Source organism: Homo sapiens, chromosome 3 (assembly GCF_000001405.40).
Source record: "Homo sapiens chromosome 3, GRCh38.p14 Primary Assembly".
Classification (NCBI taxonomy): Eukaryota; Metazoa; Chordata; class Mammalia; order Primates; family Hominidae; genus Homo; species Homo sapiens.
The window spans coordinates 2,525,713-2,545,510 of record NC_000003.12 but is presented as its reverse complement, the minus strand read 5'-3'; the positions used below and the strand labels follow the sequence as shown (position 1 = coordinate 2,545,510).

Sequence of the window (19,798 nt, the reverse complement as noted above, 5' to 3'; positions counted from 1 at the left end):
GACCTATGAAGAGACTTATATTTACACACAATAATAGTGGGAGACTTCAACACCCGACTGACAGCATTAGACAGATAATTGCGGTAGAAAATTAACAAAAATATTCAGGACCTGATCCCAACACTTGACCAAATGGACCCAAAAGACATCTACAGAACTCTCCAACCCAAAACAACAGAGTACATATTCCCATCTCCACATGACACATACTCTAAATTTGACCACACAATTGGACATAAAACAATCCTCAGGCAAATGCAAAAAACTCAAAATTGTAGCAACAACTATAGCACAACAAAAATAGAAATCAATCCTAAGAAAATCTCTCAAACCCATACAATTACCTGCAAATTAAACAACATGCTCTTAAAAGACTTTTGGGTAGATAATGAAATTAAGGCAGAAATCAAGAAATTCTTTGAAACTAATAAGAACAAAGATACAACATAACGCAATCTCTGGCACACAGCTAAGAGAGTGTTAAGAGAAAAGTTTACAGCACTAAACACCCACATCAAAAATTCAGAAAGATCTCAAATTAACAACCTAACATCACAACCACTGGAAATAGAGAACAAAGAACAAACTAACCACAAAGCTAGCAGAAGACAAGAAATAACCAAAATCAGAGCTGAACTGAAGGAAATTGAGATGTGAAAAACCACACAAAAGATCAATGAATCCAGGAATTGGTTCTTTGAAAATATTAAGAAGATAAATAGACTAGTGGCTAGACTAATTAAAAAAAAAAAGAGCAGAGATCCAAGTAAACACATTTAGAAACGACAAAGGGGACATTACCACTGACCCCACAGAAATACAAAAAACCCTCAGGGACTACCATGAACACTTCAATGCACACAAACTAGAAAATCTAGAAGAAATGGATAAAACCCCGGACACACAATCTCCCAAAACTGAACCAGGAAGAAATTGAATACTGTACTTTGTTTTCTTTTCCCAATTATAAGTTTCTTGAGGACAGAAACTCATATTGTTTTTATTTAATTAAAATGTATCCTCACATTTTTTGTATCCCATCAGAATGCCTAGCACAGCATACTTTAAAGGTGCTTAAAATGTTTGCTGATTTCTTGATGACTGGGCAATATTCTATTCAACTATTTTTGGTGAGACCAAGCTTGTTTAAGAATATACTTGGATTCTTGGATGGCCACAGTCTGCTTATGATTGCAGAAGAACAATCTTTCTTCCCATGTTCTCCAAGGAGGACTAAGGCACTGAGGAGCGTGTCTCCATCATTTACCAAAATACTTAAGCTTGATGCGTGAATAATTGTAAAAGATAAAGGCACCACTCGCTGTCATGGGACAATCATGAATATTGGCACGTGGGGTCTGAGAAAGATTTAATTTTATTTGTTAGGATTACAGGTAGTATCAGGTTCTTGATTTGTAAGTGTGAATTTATAAAAATATGTAGCTTACTCAAGAAAGGTTTCTGAATTAACAAATTAATAATAAGGATTCTCTTGTGTGTTCTCAAAGGAAAAAAGAGGACAGATATATCCAAAATATGAAAAGTTCAATGTCTACCACAGAGGCTTGTCGCTTCCTTACCTTCATACCAAGATAGCTCTTGATTGAATGATTTTTTAAAAGTCCACTGTGTGGAAATCAACCAGGTAATATTTGTCTTAATATATGCAAGTAAAACAGCACTTAAAACAACTTAAATACTCAATGTATAATATAAAGTTAAATAATGTATTAACTAATAGAGAAAATATCATTGTGATTCTTAATTCAGTCTTGGACCATTTGTGAACACAGCAAAGGGTTTTCTTTGTCTGTCCCATGAACTCTCTGCAACGTCTAAATGCATACTGAGGAAAAAGAAATGAGGTAGCAGAGATGGAGCAATGAAATTGTCTTGTTTTGGCTCCCTATTATCCTCACTGAAGCTAAAAATCGATGAAGCTGTGAAGCCTGTGAGCTCCAGTTGGCCTATGGTATCTCCAAGTTGAATGCACAGCAGAGTCCAGTGCTAAACCCGTACACACTGTTATCCCCTCCCAGGGCCCAAATCCCAGGTGACCCAGAGCTCTGGCTAAGTGGAACAAGCACTAAGACGGAAACACTTGACTACACTTAGACTCCCACAACTGCCTCTCCAGCATGCCTTATTATTTGTTTATTAAATGGTTTTCCTCTGGGTTTTGTTTTTAAGGATTGCTTCTGAATCTGAGTGCTTTAAGTGAACAGCTCTGTCTTCACCTGGTAACTCTTTCAAGCATAAGGTCAGGCGCTTAGTTCTTTATTACAGCTGCAATAACATTAGACCTCTGTTCCTTTCAGGCCAAAATATATCCTCTGTTATTTTTCAAACTAATGGTAGCCATTGAGCTATATATTTCCTGTAACTGACAAAATATAGGTTTCCCAGAGCAATGAAGAACTAAATAAATGGTAAAGATTTATCTTGGTCCATCCTATGGCATGTCCATGTATACAATCTGGCTGTGACCTTTCATAAAATTAATCTGTGTTAATGCTGATGATTTCCACTTCTATTCTATTAGTGCATGTTCAATATAGTGGTAACATAATGGGTGGAAATGTTTCTTTTCAAGGCCATCATGAATACAACGTAAGCATGATCAGTTGTTTTCTGATCTTCTAGTTCCACAAAGAGCACTGAGTCAGTCCCCTTACTGAATATGGATCCACTATCTGGCCCAGGAAACATGCCACTCACTCCCCAGAACAGCTAACACAACATTTTGCCTTCTTCCATTTGACTCAAGTGGCAATTTTGCCAGTTCATTTACGAAAGAAGAGAAAGTACCACAAAGCATCTCTATGATGACAGAAGCCTCATGCTGTGAGTTGATCTTGCCACCCTGAAACGAATCTGGAAATATTTGTACCTTAATCTCCTGCAGATATAAACCTTCCAGAGCTCTCGATCTGACATTCAGCAAAATTTGTACTATATCAGCGGTTGCTAGGCACACTGTTAGGAATAGAAAGAAAATGCAGAAGCTTAAATCCTGTGTCTTGGAGATTATTTCTTGTGTATATTCTTTGCAGAAGATTTTCTGGTGCTAGTTCATTACTGAGATTCTGTCTCCTATCTATACTGTTCTCTCTTGGCTATTTCTCTTCCTTTGGCCTTAAATCACAACTCACAATCAAACCTTTCAACCTGAGTCCATGGAAGTCCTGTTTTGCCTATCTGACTATTAGAGATTTTCAAAATGTAATTGCAGGCTTCTTATTTATCCAGGAGATAAGAATGATGGCTGAGAGGCCAGTTGGCTGCAGCTATTTCACAGTCAGTCTTACTTCTAGCATCTTTGCTGATCTTATCAAGAAGAGCTACTCCTCACATAATTTAACCAGCTGTTATGTCCAGGCTAAAAATAAAAATGATGCCTCTAATGTGGTGGCAGAAGGCAAGGGGCACTGTGCTACTGACCCAAAGGTAGATTGATACCTGCAGAGTGTCCTGTACCAGGTCACTCTATACATTGGTAGTTAGTTTTAATGGCCTAAATTAATAGTCTCTCCATTGCTGGTTTAAAATATTTGGAAACACCTGTGCAGTGCCTTTTAGTTTCACAACTCAGTTCCACAGAGATAAATATTAGAGTTGCCAAGGTCAGTGGCCCTGCCTAATGGTTCCCAGAGAGCCAGTCAAGATGGCATCTCCACTCATAGCAAGCTAATTAAGAGTTGAAGAAGGCCTCCAACACAGTGGCACCAGTACAGCCTCCCTCAGCACATATTTTTGCCCTTGGCGGTCTGAGAACAATCTGACATATACTCTGGTAGATGCTACTGTGCTTGCTTCAGCAAATTTAAGTGACTCTACCCTTTGCCATTGACTGCCAATTAATTTTAAACCAAATATCTTGGAGAGGTTATGTCAGATATCCTGAGAAAATGATATGTGACAAATGTAGGATAAACAGTGTCATGAACAGTGAATACTCTTAAAATTCCAAAGCTTACCTTCTATTGTACCCACTTTAGGGAGAACGAAGCTTTACTAAGTGCTATCAGAATTTTATATAAACCCTGCCTGTCCTATATGATTCCTTAATATGGAAAAAACGGTTTTTCTCTTGACTTATTTGCAAAATAAGGTGCATAATAGTACACTGAGAGGATCTGTTGGCATAGAAAAGTATTGAATACATAAACGACTATATGCTTTAATATTGTCTATTTTTTATAGCCTCACCTCACTCCAGAAAAAGAAAAAAACTAAGGAAAGTGCCCTAGAAGGCCCATACTCCACATTTCCAATAACCATTAGCCAAAGTTGCCCTGTGCAAGTGCAACACCTAATGTGAAGTTACTATACTTAAGAGTTTACAAAATTCAAATGAGTTTAAGGGTGCAAACAAATAATTCTTCAAACACCCTAAATCTGGCCCCAAGACCCAGAAGATAGCTGAAGAAAGATAGGAGATTAGACTTGGAGATAAGGACTTGGGTATAAGTTCCAGCTATGTAATGAGTGAAGAAATCTCATAACCCTCCGTTTACTCATATGCAAAACAGATGCTTTGAAATCCTAATATGTTTTTCAATATTTCTGTACTCGCCAATATAACATCACAGGTACAATTGGTTCCATTGTTAGTTTGACAATATTGGCTGCTTCCCTTCTTCCTATCTGATCCTTTTCATTTATCTCCTCTCTATTAATTGGCAAATAAACAGAAAAGTTAAGTAAGCACAGGATTTAAACTACTTTATAAACCTTGGATCAAGACAAATAAAATACATAAAGCATTGTTAAAAAATTGTACTTTTCCTTGTAATTGGACCCTGAATATTTTTGACTCACAATTACTTAAAGATTATGTTTATGAAATTGACTATTTAATATCTATACTTCTGTATATTGTGTATGAACATAATCCACATTAGGATTTCTATAGACAATGAATAAATCATACTGAAACTCCTACTACTTTTTAAAATAAAATGTCCATAGCAGTAGGCAATATCTTATGGCATCCAGTACTGGAGTAGAAGCAGAACCAAAAAAATGATATTCCCCCACCGTCTTTTCTCCTGTGTGCTCTTCAACCACACCCATGCCTCCACTCTCTCAGTCGGCCGCTTTCTGTTTTGCTGCAAGAGAAATTAACACTCCATGCCCACGAGACACATGCCTCCAAACTAGCTGTTTGGAGACTCAGCTGGGTGGTGCCAAGCAACATGATGCAATCCCACGTAACCAAACCTTGGGTGCCTGTTACCATTCAACCACATACACCTACCCTCAAGTTTGTTATTAATCACAAAAGGAAATAAACTTCCAAAGGGAGGCAAATAAATTCTATGGCTAGTAATTTATGATTGTTTCTATGGATAGGTCTTACAACCCCAATTTTTTATATCACCTATTAGTTAGCTGAAAAAATATTTGCTGATACACACACACACACACACACACACACAACACTGATGAAGCAGATTATGGCATATTATCTTGTCCTCTGCCATTTTCATTTTAATAATAGATACCTGTATTATTAAAAGTTATTCTCTCAATGTCATTATTGAGTCTGCATGGAAAAAAATTGGAATAACTCTTGAGTTCCCTCCTAGATCTAACACTGCAAGAGTTGAGTAATCACCGGCATTTTATAGTATGCAAAGCAGCATTTTCTTGAGGCAAACTGTTTCCAATCCTGAATATCAGTTATCATAAGGGAAAAAAATGCCATTTTATCTCAAAGATTCTATATTGTCTTTGAAGTACGTAGATGTTCAGCATTAGGTAGCAAAGCTCGGAAATCTGTTTACTTGTAACATTAATTTGATTTGTTTTCCTTCATTGTGAAAAAGATAAAAAGAAATCAAATTCATAAACCTAGAACATCTCATTGATTTTTGCATCAAGTCTACGTGGTAAAGGGCAAAGAGTCAAAGTTTGCTTTCCAAGTGTAAATACCATGGACGGCTTATTATACTCAATCTCTTCGGGATTTATACCTAGGGCATTTCTAAATACTTTTGTTCTCAAGATTATTATCATAAGTGGAGATTAAGGAAAAAATAGTTAAGTTGGTAAACTAAGAAAAATCTTATTTGTTTCCAAAACACGTCTCAAAAGAAATTAGTGCCAATTGACAGAGAATTTAAAGACAAAGCATTAGGTTGCAGGAATGGGGAAAGATGAGGTTCATATCAACAGCGAAAGCATTCACCTGATAAAGGACACAATATATTCAGAAAATCAGAATTCTGATTACTAAAATGTAGCATTAAATTGAATCTTATCCCTACATTACTGTTTTGTATACTGCTGGTTTATGCTAATTTCAAGAATAAATTGTCAACCTAAATTAGTCAATTTCACTATCATCTTGCTTATGGAAAATCCTTATGAAAATAATTACAGAAGATCAACAAAGTTTCATAACCTTTGACCTATCCTTCTTATGGTTAGGATAGTTATAGGTTCTACAGCACAAATTCCAATAGCTTAAAGCTAAAAAGAAACTAAATGTTCAATAATGGGGAGTAGTTACATCAATAATATTTTGAGCATATATATTTGATGGAAAATTGTATGGGGATTCCAAATATTCCATAAAGGTACTATAAAAGCAAATATATTTATAATATATTAAGTAATAAATCAAATTAAAGAACATTGTGGGTGTGTGTCTGTGTGTGCATATATATGTATATTAGAAATAGATAAAATACATGCACATTGGTGAAAACTAGGCATGAATACATAAGAAAAATAACTGCCATTAGGAATGATTATATTTTATTTCTTTGTTATTCATTCCTGTTTTTAAAAATTAGCCAATTTAAGAACTTTATAATAACATGAAATATAAGTATATAAAATAGCAGTTATGAAAGTTAACAAGTACAATCAATAGCTTCAAATGTAAACCAGATTACACCACCACTCTGCAGAATTTTTAACTATTAATACAAATTAGAGACAAGTTAGTATATTAATGTATATCAAAGTGAACGGATTAACTTTTTTTAATTTGGGAAATAACTATATATATTAAAACTATTAGAAATAACATAGAAACATATTTACTGACACAGAAGAATATCCAAAATGCATTGCTAAGTAGATAAAGAATAGTTTATGAAATGTTGGGGAAAGGGATTAATCCCAGAGTTTACTCCATGACTTTGTTAGGGCTGCTGTAACACAGTAACGTAAACTGAGTTAAACAAGAGAAATGTATTGTGTCAAAGTTCTGAAGACTAGAAGTCTGAGATCAAAGTGTCAGTGGGGCCATGTTCCCTCTGAAGGCACTAGGAAAAGGTCTCCTTCTATTTAGCTTCTGGTGGTTTCCTGGCTTGTGCAGAATAACTCCAGTCTTCACATGGTGTTTTCCCTGTGTGTCTATTTGTGTCCAAATTTCCCCCTTTTATAAGGACACCAGTCATATGACATTAGGGATCCACCATACTTCTATATGATATCACCTTAAGTAATTACATCTGCAATATCCTTATTTACAAATAAGGTCACAATCAGGTGTACAGGGGGGTTATGCCTTCAAAACAGATGAATTTTGGGGGTAGGGGGAGGAGCACAATTCATTCTATACAATTTACTTATGTAAAGAGACTTGACGGGAAGGAGGGAGTTTCATTCCACTTCCAGAAGGAGGGTTATTGGAGATGTACCCCCAATTACTTTGTTTTCAGCTTGCTCCCTTCTGCAGAAGGATAAGTAACTGAAGTAAATGTTTATGATGGGTGGATATGTGGATGAATGAATAAATGGATGCATGAATAGCGATTTTTTAGTTCATCTTTCTAAAAAGTCTCATGATCGTGGTCCATAAGACCAACGAAATTCCCAAATTTCAGAGAGTAGCTAGTGGTAAGGATGAATCTGATATCCTGGGTCATGAAATGTCAAGTTCCCTTAGAAGTGTCTTACTCTGCTCCAAGCAGATACATATGACAAATAATGTGAACAGTGGACAGTTTTCATCAGATGTAGGCAAAATCTTTACATTCAGAGAGACATATGAGGCAAGATGCAGGTGATCTGCATCTGGACACCTAACACTTAAAAGACAACATAAAGTATCCTGGTGACAAACGGCAACATCACAGACATAGCTCTCACAAATGCAAGGACTCTGAGGATGCTGAAGCCTTAAATTTTGGAGTCTATATTCAGTTATTATCCTTCAGACTTTGGAGACACTGTCTCAGACCCACCAACTCTAGGCTATACCTTCTGTCTTAATGGAGTCGTAGGAACCTCTGTGACTCAAACAATTATATATCTTCGGGACAGTATTCCAACTGTCTGTGTGACTTCATACCAGTACAAATATAGTGTATGAAAACATGCACTACATGGTTTCCTAAATTTCCCTTATAGAACGCATGTGCATAAAACACAATATTCCCCCCAAAATTTAGAAATCTACTGCATCTTTTCGTATACTGCAGTAGCACATACTACAGATGCTAGTGGGTTAAGATTCAATTCCATACTACTCATATATTAGGCACAAAAACACTACATGGTAGAGAGTGGCTTTTATATTATTTTATAAATGAGACAAGCTGAGGAAAGAAAATTTTAAGCAATATTCTCAAAGTCACAATGATCGAGCACCAAAGCCAAGATCTAAACTATATGGTGGTATTCTAGAACCTGGGCTCTTCAACGTAATGTTCTACAACATCTACTCAATATCAAATGTTGCATTGTGAAGTACAGAAAGAAGAGACTATATTTGCTGACCTAGGAAAATTGCTAGGCCTTGATATCTGAAAAATATATTCATTTTTTAGGGGTGGCTTGTGGCTCATGCCTGTAATCCCACCATTTTGGGAGGCCAAAGCAGGAGGATGACTTGAAGCCAGGAGTTCAAGACCAGCCTAGGAAATAAAGTAAGATCCAGTCTCTACCAAAAAAAAAAAAAAAATTATTTAAAAAATATTTTCTTCAGGGCTCAATTTCAGTGTACTACTTTGATATGACCTCACCTCGATAGGATCAACTGTTTTTATGATATATACTTGAGAAAACCAATTCAATCTTTTCAGCATAGGGCAATGACTTTCAGGTCAAGCTCTTCCAAAAATGTGAATTAAATAAAAATTGGTCTCAGTATATGAAGTCAAATATCACCACCAGTCACTGGGGAGATACAATGATGATTTCAGTTCTATAAATTTCAGTCAGCCTAAAAGCAGTAGGATTAGGCTTAAAAACTGGGACGAAAGAATGCATTTGAGTAAACTTTCCATCCAGTTGAACTTTGTGGATTTGAAATTTACCCATAGATCTAGATGGTTTTTAAAAGGTTCCCAGATATATAAACGTCATCTTTGAGTTATATGGTGGGAGATGTGGTTCTGAACTGTTTCACCCTTAAATCCCTGCCTATTGGAGAGTCCTGTGGACAGTTCTCTAAAGAAAATGAGGTTTTAAATGCAACATGGTGGCAATCAGATCTTCCGTCTACTACTTTTCTTTGTGACACAGAAAATCTACTCATTGTTCTTTCTTGGCACTAATAGCAAAACGGTGGGCTTGCTCTTTGAAGAACAGTCTTCAAAAACACAGCTTTGGGAAAATGGGGGATTTCTTCAGGCTTCCAAACTGTCAAAGACTTCCAGATTAGCCCTTTCACAGAGACATCTCAAACATTTTGAAAGTGTACTACTGAAAGGGATATTTTTGACTCAGTCTATTTTGAGGGGGTCTCTTAAACATGCATGGACAAAAAAAGGTTTTCTCTTCTTGTTAAAATGTTCAAAAACATAATAGTAGAAATAACATCAAAATATACAACTACCAAATCCAACAGAGATGCTTTTTAAGGTTTAACATAAAGAAACAGGGGTCCTCTTAGCACTTAGGAATAGATTAGAACATAGGAATCTCTATCATGAAAGGGCTAGTCCAAGCAGCATATGAACTGGGATGTGATATAATTACCAAGTACTGTGAACAAAAAGCAAGCAAGTCTCTAAAGAGGCAAGTGGAGGGCCTTGACGTCAATGAAAATCTCAACAGCTACCTACCTCACATGATGGTTGAAGGAGAAAAGTGAAAATTTGAAAGTACACTGATAGTATTAGAAAAAACACAGAAGAAGCCTATGATCAAATGAAAGAGAATTGAAAACTGAAACTTAGAAGTGAAGACAGATATCAGTAAGAGATACATATTTGGAAACAAAGGGAAAGCAGAACTCTTGCATCAGAAAGTCATAGCTTTAGAAAGAATTGAGGACAGATTTAAAAGGGGGAGGATCAAGTATCCAACCATGGGGGATGTGTCATAAAGACTACCAATAAACTTGCTCTATTTTTGTTGAAGTACAAGGTTGAAAGGCATCTTACGGGCAACTAGCTCTCAGAAGACGCAAAGAGGACAAAATTACCTTTAAATAATAGACAGGTATTCCTATTTAAAGTAATCCTCAAGAAAAGTGGGAATGGGACATAAGCTATGCCCAGAGTCAATTCTTGCTATTATGTAAAGAAGGTCCTTTAGAGCTGAAGCAAGGCTTTGACCTTTTACACTGCATGCAAAGATAGAACAGGCGATATGAAAATCCCATCTCCTCAACACACTTCTCGTTTCAGATGCTAAATCTTGAAAGACGTTTCTCCACAGCCACCTAAACTCACACAACCACAACAACCGCAGCAACAATAACAGCAACAGCAGCAGCAGCAGCATACATTGTTCCCTCATTTGGTGTGCCAGTCCTCAAGAGTAAAATGGCAGCTTTTAACGACCACTTCTAAGGTGACAGAACAGGGAGCAAAAAGGAAGACAGTGTAAGCAATTAAAACTTCAGAGGACATCCACATAAAAAGATGAAACAGGGCCAAGGCTCTGAAGTCACAGCCCTCAGCTGGAAAACAGTGCCAGAGGACACGTAATGACCAGAAGGAATCCAGAGTTCACACCAACAGTACATGGCTAAGATCTCCGCTCAACACAGTGTCTCAGAAAAAGCACTAAGCCCAAGTGCACCCACACTGCAGCTGGATGCAACCTCCATTCTTAAGGAATGCCAGGACAGGAACAAGGCTTAAGAAAGATATAGACTAATGGAATAGAACAGAGCCCTCAGAAATAATACCACACATCTTTGACAAACCTGACAAAAACAAGAAATGGGGAAAGGATTCCCTATTTAATAAATGGTGCTGGGAAAACTGGCTAGCCATATGTAGAAAGCTGAAACTGGATCCCTTCCTTACAACTTATACAAAAATTAATTCAAGATGGATTGAAGACTTACATGTTAGACCTAAAACCATAAAAACCCTAGAAGAAAACCTAGGCAATACCATTCAGGACATAGGCATGGGCAAGGACTTCATGTTTAAAACACCAAAAGCAATGGCAACAAAAGCCAAAATTGGCAAATGGGATCTAATTAAACTAAAGAGCTTCTGCACAACAAAAGAAACAACCATCAGAGTGAACAGGCAACCTACAGCATGGGAGAAAATTTTTGCAATCTACTCATCTGACAAAGGGCTAATATCCAGAATCTACAAAGAACTCAAACAAATTTACAAGAAAAAAAAAAACCATCAAAAAGTGGGCAAAGGATATGAACAGACACTTCTCAAAAGAAGACATTTGTGCAGCCAACAGACACATGAAAAAATGCTCATCATCACTGGTCATCAAAGAAATGCAAATCAAAACCACAATGAGACACCATCTCACACCAGTTAGAATGGCAATCATTAAAGAGTCAGGAAACAACAGGTGCTGGAGAGGATGTGGAGAAATAGGAACAGCTAGTTCAACCATTGTGGAAGACATTGTGGTGATTCCTCAAGGATCTAGAACTAGAAATACCATTTGACCCAGCCATCCCATTACTGGGTATATACCCAAAGGATTATAAATCATGCTGCTATAAAGATACATGCACACATATGTTTATTGTGGCACTATTCACAATAGCAAAGACTTGGAACCAACCCAAATGTCCATCAATGATAGACTGGATTAAGAAAATGTGGTACATATACACCCTATGGAATACTATGCAGCCATAAAAAAGGATGAGTTCATGTCCTTTGTAGGGACATGGATGATGCTGGAAACCATCATTCTCAGCAAACTATCGCAAGGACAAAAAATCAAACACTGCATGTTCTCACTCATAGGTCGGAATTGAATAATGAGAACACTTGGACACGGGAAAAGGAACATCACACACCAGGGCCTGTTGTGGGGTGGAGGGAGGGGGAGGGAAAGCATTAGGAGATATACCTAATGCTAAATGATGAGTTAATGGGTGCAGCACACCAACATGGCACATGTATACATATGAAACAAACCTGCCTGTTGTGCACATGTACCCTAGAACTTAAAGTATAATTAAAAAAAAAAAAAAGAAGAATCAATCTGTCTTCTACATTTTCCGAGAAAGTAGCCAAAGTCCAGAGAGGTTAATGTCACATGTCTGAATTCATAAAGAAAGTCAATAATGAAAACAAGATTCACATCTAGAGATTTGGGCGGTGACTAAGCAAACCAATGATCAAGGATGGTTCTCATTTCTTATGCTGCTCTGTTAGCAGCCCCAGTAAACTCGTAAGGCTATGAGTTCTACAGTGTTTTTCAGTAAAATATAATCTCTTTTCCCACCCTGCCTCCCAAGCATGGATATATGTCTATTTATGTAAATATTAAATAAAAAAACTTCAGGGAAGATATGACTTTTTTCTATCAAAATATAATCTTATTACTGTATGACACGAAAGAGTATGAAGACTGCTATAGTTACTTTTTTAAGAATGTAAACAACTCTTGTTTTTAAATGAATATTTACAATAGTTTTCACTAATAATTGGTAAATTAAGCTTTTTGAGAGTAGAATATATTTGTTTTTGGTTTCCTTTTCTTCCAGTTAACTATGTGCAAAGCAGGAAGTTTAAAAAGTGGTTGCTTTCATAGAACTATATTTCCTTCGTTAGTCAACTTCTACTTACAATTTTGATTTTCAAAAATACAGAGTCTAGGGATGGCTACTATTTTTATTTTTTGTTCCTAGTACAAACATTTTGGTCAAAAGAAAGAATTCTCCCTTTAACCTGTCATAAGTTAGATGGATGTGGTGGTGCATGCCTGTGGTCCCAGCTACTTAGGAGGCTGAGGGAGGAGGTCCACCTGAGCCCAGGGAGATTAAGGCTGTAGTTAGCCATGATTGCACCACTGCAGTCCAGCCCAGGGTGACAGGGTGAGATGCTGTCTCTCAAAAAAACAAAAAACAAAACCCCAAATCCTGCCATAAGACCTAGGAAAAACTATCTCACAAAATAGAGAAATACTAGTCTATTTTACATCTTTGAACTTGAAATGTATAATCTTCCAATAAGCAGGAGATTTATAAGTACATATATTTAGCAAAATCAGCCACAAGAATACAGGTTGAGGGAACTCAAGACATGAAAAGTCCAGTGTGAGTTAAGAAGTCAATTACTCTCAAAACATGGCTTTTGTTACATTTCAAAAACAGGCAACACAACAGTTTCTCATTCTTTAGCACTGTAATGCTGGCTCAGTTGTAATTCTAAAATGTGTATAAGGTTGAAATTTTCTCTTACAAGATCAAGTATTAGAGCGAACACTGCCACAGGTTATTTCTGCTGGATGTCAGGGACATCACATAAGTTCTTATTATGAATATTAAGACAGATTTTGACTCGAGTTTGAATTTGTTAAATTGCATGCATTAGCCTCTCAAGAGCATTCATCACCATTAATATGGGGGAGATAATTCCACTCATCAAATGGAATCTTTACTTCTAAAGACAATATAAAGCAGGGGAAAAGGTCAGAAATCTCGTTAAGAGAGTCAGGAAAGAGTCACTACTTTCTGTTTAATGGAATAAGGGCGGTCAATGGCTGAAAGAGTAAATGGACATCCAATGGCAATCATTATACTACTCTCCCATTTGCAACTGAGAATTGTGAAAAGAGAACAACATTATTTAGGTCATGTAGTTATTAAATGTTAACAAGCTAGGGGTAACAGCTTGGATCCCTAAAGACTCACTGCCTCCCTGGTTGAAGGCATAGAGAGACAATGGAGATGGAGAAGGTCCCTCATTTGTTCCTCCAAACTTCTCTTTGACTAGACTGCTAATTATAGAGTCCTGACTATCCCTGAGGAAAACTAAGCAAAAATGTATCTCCCGTACCCAGGCCTACCCGCCCAAGCTCCTTCCTTTCCCTTGATGTTTTTGGCTCCAAGTGGCCCATGATGAAGGGAAAACACCCTGAAGACAACACCTTGTCTCCTTTCCTGGCTAACAGAGGAGGATGAGGTAGATCTCAAGACCTGCCGTTGTTTTCCAGTTGACAAGTGAAAATACTCACAAATGATAGTGTGCAGTTTAATGTCATCAAACATATTGACTCTTTTTTAGGAGGTTCTTTCCCCAGGCTTAGCATTCATTTTTGGATGTCTGTAGTCACTTCTGTTAGTAGAGATAGTATACTTCCACATGAGTCATCTATGAAGATGGCACAATTCTTTTAACTGCCAAATTAACACAACTGAATAAACAAGGTAAGAGACTGGGAAAGCTTCAACACATAGTTAAAAACAACTGAAACTATAACAGTGGTTTATGTCCTCTTTTTCCTGAAATTTAAAGAGAATTATTTCCAAATTATTTCAGACAATAAAGCTTAGAGTAACTTCTTGGCTGAATGACATTTCTTAGATCACGGGAGTTACACTTTTAAGAACATTTTCTCAAGGTAAAAAAATCTGGCTACATAAGTGTTCTCTAAATAATAAAAGGAAAATGCAAATAGCACCTAAAAGACAATGCTAACATACAACAGCTAAATTATGAGAAAATTAGAGGCCATAGTCCCAATCAACGTGGTTTTAAGAAGAAAATAGAGGCCAGGTGCGGTGGCTTACGCTTGTAATCCCAGCACTTTGGGAGGCTGAGGCAGGCAGATCACGAGGTCAGGAGATGGGGACCATCCTGGCCAACATGGTGAAACCCCTGTCTCTACTAAAAATACAAAAATTAGCTGGGCATGGTGGCGCGCATCTGTAATCCCAGCTATCCGGGAGCCTAAGGCACGAGAATCGCTTGAACCCAGGAGGTGGAGGTTGCAGTGAGCTGAGATCGTGCCACTGCACTCCAGCCTGGTGACAGAGTGAGACTCAGTCACAAAAAAAAAAAAAAAAAAGAAGAGGAGAAAGAAGAAGAAAATAGAGTATATTAGTGAAATAAACAGGTACACTGACAATGTATTATATTTGTCAAGCAGTGACAGAGCTGGATTTTATTTATTTTGGCTGAATTCTAAGTAATGCATATCAAGATGAAAATGTTGGAGAGGCAACCTAGAAAGAAAAGCTCCTACTGCTCTCAAATCAGTGGATTTATTACAAGATTTCTGAAAATCTATACTAGTAACAGCAGAAGGTAATGATTCCACTGCCAGGGAGGAAGTGTGATGATATAGCCCAAGCATCACATGAGGGAAATCTAAAAAGCACAGCATTTTCACTTTTTTATTTTCATTGATGAAAATATATCAAGTGCAAGGAGCTCATCTACTGCACTAGGGCCAAGAAAATAGAAGCCTAACTGGAATCAAACCAGCAGCTGTTAAAGGATTAGGATTTCAAGATATTCTGGTATTATCTATTGTCAGTGATGTCATCATCTTGGTCAATAATATAATCCTCCTCTTCCTTCTCCTCCTCCTCCTCCTCCTCATCATATGGTGGTCACCATTACCAAGTTACTCAAACAAGAGTAAAGACGATCAAGGCAGCTAAACAGAGTGTGAATAGTTTAGCCTATGCAAAGATCAACCTACCTGTGAAAAAAGGCATATCCCTTGAAACCAACAATGTCTCCTCTCATGTTGATTTCTTGACAGATAGGCTATGTCATTTTATTGGCTCTGTTGTTTGTATATAGTAAGTAATACATGTATTACAAATCATAATACATATTATACATTTTCTACTCCATACAAATATGAAAGTCAATAAACATTATCTAGCAATACCATGACTGGGTATATATCTGAAGGAAAGTAAATCAGTATTATAAAGAGATGTCTGCACTACCATATTTGTTGCAGCAATATTCACAATAGCCAAGGTATGGAATCAATGTAAGTATCCATCAACAGATGAATGGATGAAGAAAATACGTATATATACATAATGGAATACTATTCAGCCATAAAAAATAGTAATATCCTCTCACGTGGGGCAACATGGATGACTCCAGAGGACTTTATGTTAAGTCAAATAAGCCAGGCACAGAATGATAAATATTTCATCTTCTCACTCCTGTGTAGAAGCTAAGAAAAGTTGATCTCCTAGAAGTAGAGAGTAGAGTAGTGGCTTTTAGAGGCTGGGAAGAGTGGGGAGAGCAAAGATAGGGAGAAATTCATTAAAGGATACAAAATTCTAGGCAGATAGGATAAATCAGTTGTACTGTTCCATAGCACTGTACGAGTACCATAGCTAACAATAATTTATTATATATTTTCAGAAAGCTAGAAGAGAGGATTTTGAATGTTCTCAACACAAAGAAATGATGAATGTTGAGGTGACAGGATATGCTCATTAACCTAACTTAATCACTATATATTGGATGCATTGAGACAATACTATGTACTTCATAAATATATATAATTATGTCTCAGTGAAAAAAATCAAGAAATAGCTTGTCATACTAAAGGTGGAAACAAATTATTATATTGTAGGCTAATTATGGAGTATTAAGAGTTTTTTAAAGGCTAATATTGAAAAAAACCTTGGTTCATATTCTACCAGAGAATTGAAAAAATTTGTTTCAGTAATATACTTACAGGGCTTTAGCCACCACCTATAATCTCAATAATGCACTATACTATCTACCTCCTAAAAGTGCTTTTAAAAAATTACGTTTAATAAAATGGGTCAGTAAAGTAGTACAATCTCAGACAAATCAGTTTCGGTTTCACCTTGGATTGAATTATTTTAATGTCATAGCATGGTTTTCCTAATATCAGTGCTATTTTAGCATCTAGTTGTTTTAATGGGAATGATTTGATCTCTGGTGTATAACTGTGTTCATTTTATGGGCCAATGCATTGACTGATCATCAGTGTAGCATAACATGGTTGATATTCCTGATTTCTCCACATATGAGATAATACACAATCAAAATCCAATTCCAATAAAATAGAAATAACAATTTCAAATGTAAAATAATAAAATTTTAGAGGTTTCCTTTCTGAAATACAACAAAGAATCAAGACTACAACATCCATGGGGAAAGGAGGCAGTCCAATCAACATATGAGCTTGGATTTGATATATTAATAATTACTCAGTACTGTGAACAAGATGCAACCAATTCAGCGACAAGAGGAGGCCTTGACATCAATAAAAATCTGAACACCTACTTACCTCACCCCATAGCTGAGAATGAAAAGTGACAACTTGAAAGTACACTGATTGTTTTAGAAAGAACACAGAAAAAGTCTATGACCAAATGAAAGAACATTGAAAACTGAAACCTAGAAATGAAGGGAGACATCGGGAAGGGACATATATCTGAAAACAAAAGGAAAGCAGAACTCTTGCTTTAGAAAGAGATGGCTTTAGAAAGAATTGAGGGCAGATTTAAAAGGGGGAGGATCAAGTATCCAACTGTGGGGGATGTGTCATAAGGGCTACCAATAAACTTGTTCTATTTTTGTTGAAGAGCAAGGCTGAAAGACATCTAGGGGCAACTAGCTCTCAGAAGACACAAAGAGGACAAAATTATATTTAAATAATAGACAGGTATTTCTATTTAAAGTAATCCTCAGGAAAAGAGGGGATGGGACATAAGCTATGCCCAGAGTCAATGCTCGCTATTATGTAAAGAAGGTGCTTTACGGATGAAGCAAGGCTTTGACCTTTTACACCGCATGCAAAGATAGAACAGGCGATATGAAAATCCCATCTCCTCAACACACTTCTCGTTTCAGATGCTAAATCTTGAAAGACGTTTCTCCACAGCCACCTAAACTCACACAACCACAACAACCGCAGCAACAATAACAGCAACAGCAGCAGCAGCAGCAGCAGCAGCATACATTGTTCCCTCATTTGGTGTGCCAGTCCTCAAGAGTAAAATGGCAGCTTTTAACGACCACTTCTAAGGTGACAGAACAGGGAGCAAAAAGGAAGACAGTGTAAGCAATTAAAACTTCAGAGGACATCCACATAAAAAGATGAAACAGGGCCAAGGCTCTGAGGTCACAGCCCTCAGCTGGAAAACAGTGCCAGAGGACATGTAATGACCAGAAGGAATCCAGAGTTCACACCAACAGTGCATGGCTAAGATCTCTGCTCAACACAGTGTCTCAGAAAAAGCACTAAGCCCAAGTGCACCCACACTGCAGCTGGATGCAACCTCATTCTTAAGGAATGCCAGGACAGGAACAAGGCTTAAGAAGAATCAATCTGTCTTCTACGTTTTCTGAGAAAGTATCCAAAGTCCAGAGAGGTTAATGGTATGTGTCTGAGTTCATAAAGAAAGTCAGCAATGAAAACAAGATTCAGATCTAGAGATTTGGGCAGTGGCTAAGCAAACCAGTTATCAAGGATGGTTCTCATTGCACATATGCTGCTCTGTTAGCAGCTCCAGTAAACTTGTAAGACTATGATTCCCACAATTTTTTTCAGTAAAATATAATCTTCTTTCTCAACCTGCCTCCCAAGCATGGATGTATGCCTATTTATGCAAATATTAAGTAAAAAAACCTCAGGGAAGATATTTTTATATCAAAATATTAGTGGTATATTTCATGAATATAAGAGAAAGAATGTAAAGTGTGCAACAGTCACCATTTCAAAAAAGTACATGATTGGTTTACATGTAATAGTTACCCTAAATCCCATACGTATTTTGGTAAATCAAGTTTTTTCTTAGACTGGAATAAATTTATTCTTGGATTATTTTATCCTAGTTACTATGTAAGTTTTCACATTTTTTGCTTTTATACAACTATATTTCCTTCATTCATAAACTTCAACTTTGACAACTTTGATTTTTAGCAATTACAGATACTAGGAATGGCTATGATTTTGGTATTTGTTTTCCAAGCAGGAGAATTTTAGTCATAGGGAAGAATTTGTCCTTTAAATATGCCATAAAATGTAGGTGAAACTACCTGATACACTGCAGAAATACCAGCTTCTTTTCCTTCTTTTAACTTTGATAATTCTAACAACTTCTGAAACAGAGTATTCTCAGTTTTTACTAAGAATAAATCTAGACAGAGAAATGAGAAGGTGGAGAGAAAAAAGATTGTGGGGCGCATGAAGGGCCTGGGAGCTGAGTCATAGGGAGGACCATAGTGCCAGGGATGGGTAAAATGTGTTAGGAGGGTGGGCGGGATTATAAATAGAAACTCACTAAATGTACAGTATATACTGCAGTCACACTACCTTTTTGATTCTGTTTTGTCTTGTGCTGTCCCTGATTCAGTCTTAACTGATGTACTGTAAGATGTGTGATAAGAAACCTACCTTGTTAAGACCTTTATTTGTAGTAGCAATGGGGGTGGAGGTATAATGTGTATTTGTTTCCCTGTGACAATGTAAGCATGTGTTTGTGCATGTGTGTGCTAGCACATATGTATATATAAAATGTTTCATCATACTACAAAGCAAACTGAATAATATTTAATCAACCATTTCCTTCAGTACTCAGTTTATCTGCAATATTCACCTCTACATATACATTTTCAATATTCTTAGAAAGCCAGAATTTGATACTGATTGT

General features: G+C 36.8%; 1 protein-coding gene across 36 annotated transcripts in view, besides 2 other annotated features; it reads right to left on the bottom strand.

The window, feature by feature from the left end:
- CNTN4 (contactin 4) overlaps positions 1–19,798 on the bottom strand; it is a 959,094-nt gene that overhangs the window by 512,449 nt on the left and 426,847 nt on the right. Inside the window, exon 1 of one of the 36 annotated variants that reach the window (XM_011533429.3) lies at positions 2,891–5,161. The exons of the other annotated variants lie outside the window; for them this stretch is intronic. The gene's annotated coding sequence lies outside the window, so the exon portion shown is untranslated. Of the gene's footprint in view, positions 1–2,890; positions 5,162–19,798 lie in introns of those variants that run through there. 36 annotated transcript variants of the gene reach the window in all.
- Positions 10,057–10,506: an enhancer, noted in NCBI's record as "active region_19335". NCBI's record gives its function as "activates an Ori minimal core promoter by ATAC-STARR-seq in GM12878 lymphoblastoid cells {active_cell/tissue: GM12878}" and the evidence as "EXISTENCE:reporter gene assay evidence [ECO:0000049][PMID:35858748]".
- Positions 17,311–17,380: an enhancer, noted in NCBI's record as "active region_19334". NCBI's record gives its function as "activates an Ori minimal core promoter by ATAC-STARR-seq in GM12878 lymphoblastoid cells {active_cell/tissue: GM12878}" and the evidence as "EXISTENCE:reporter gene assay evidence [ECO:0000049][PMID:35858748]".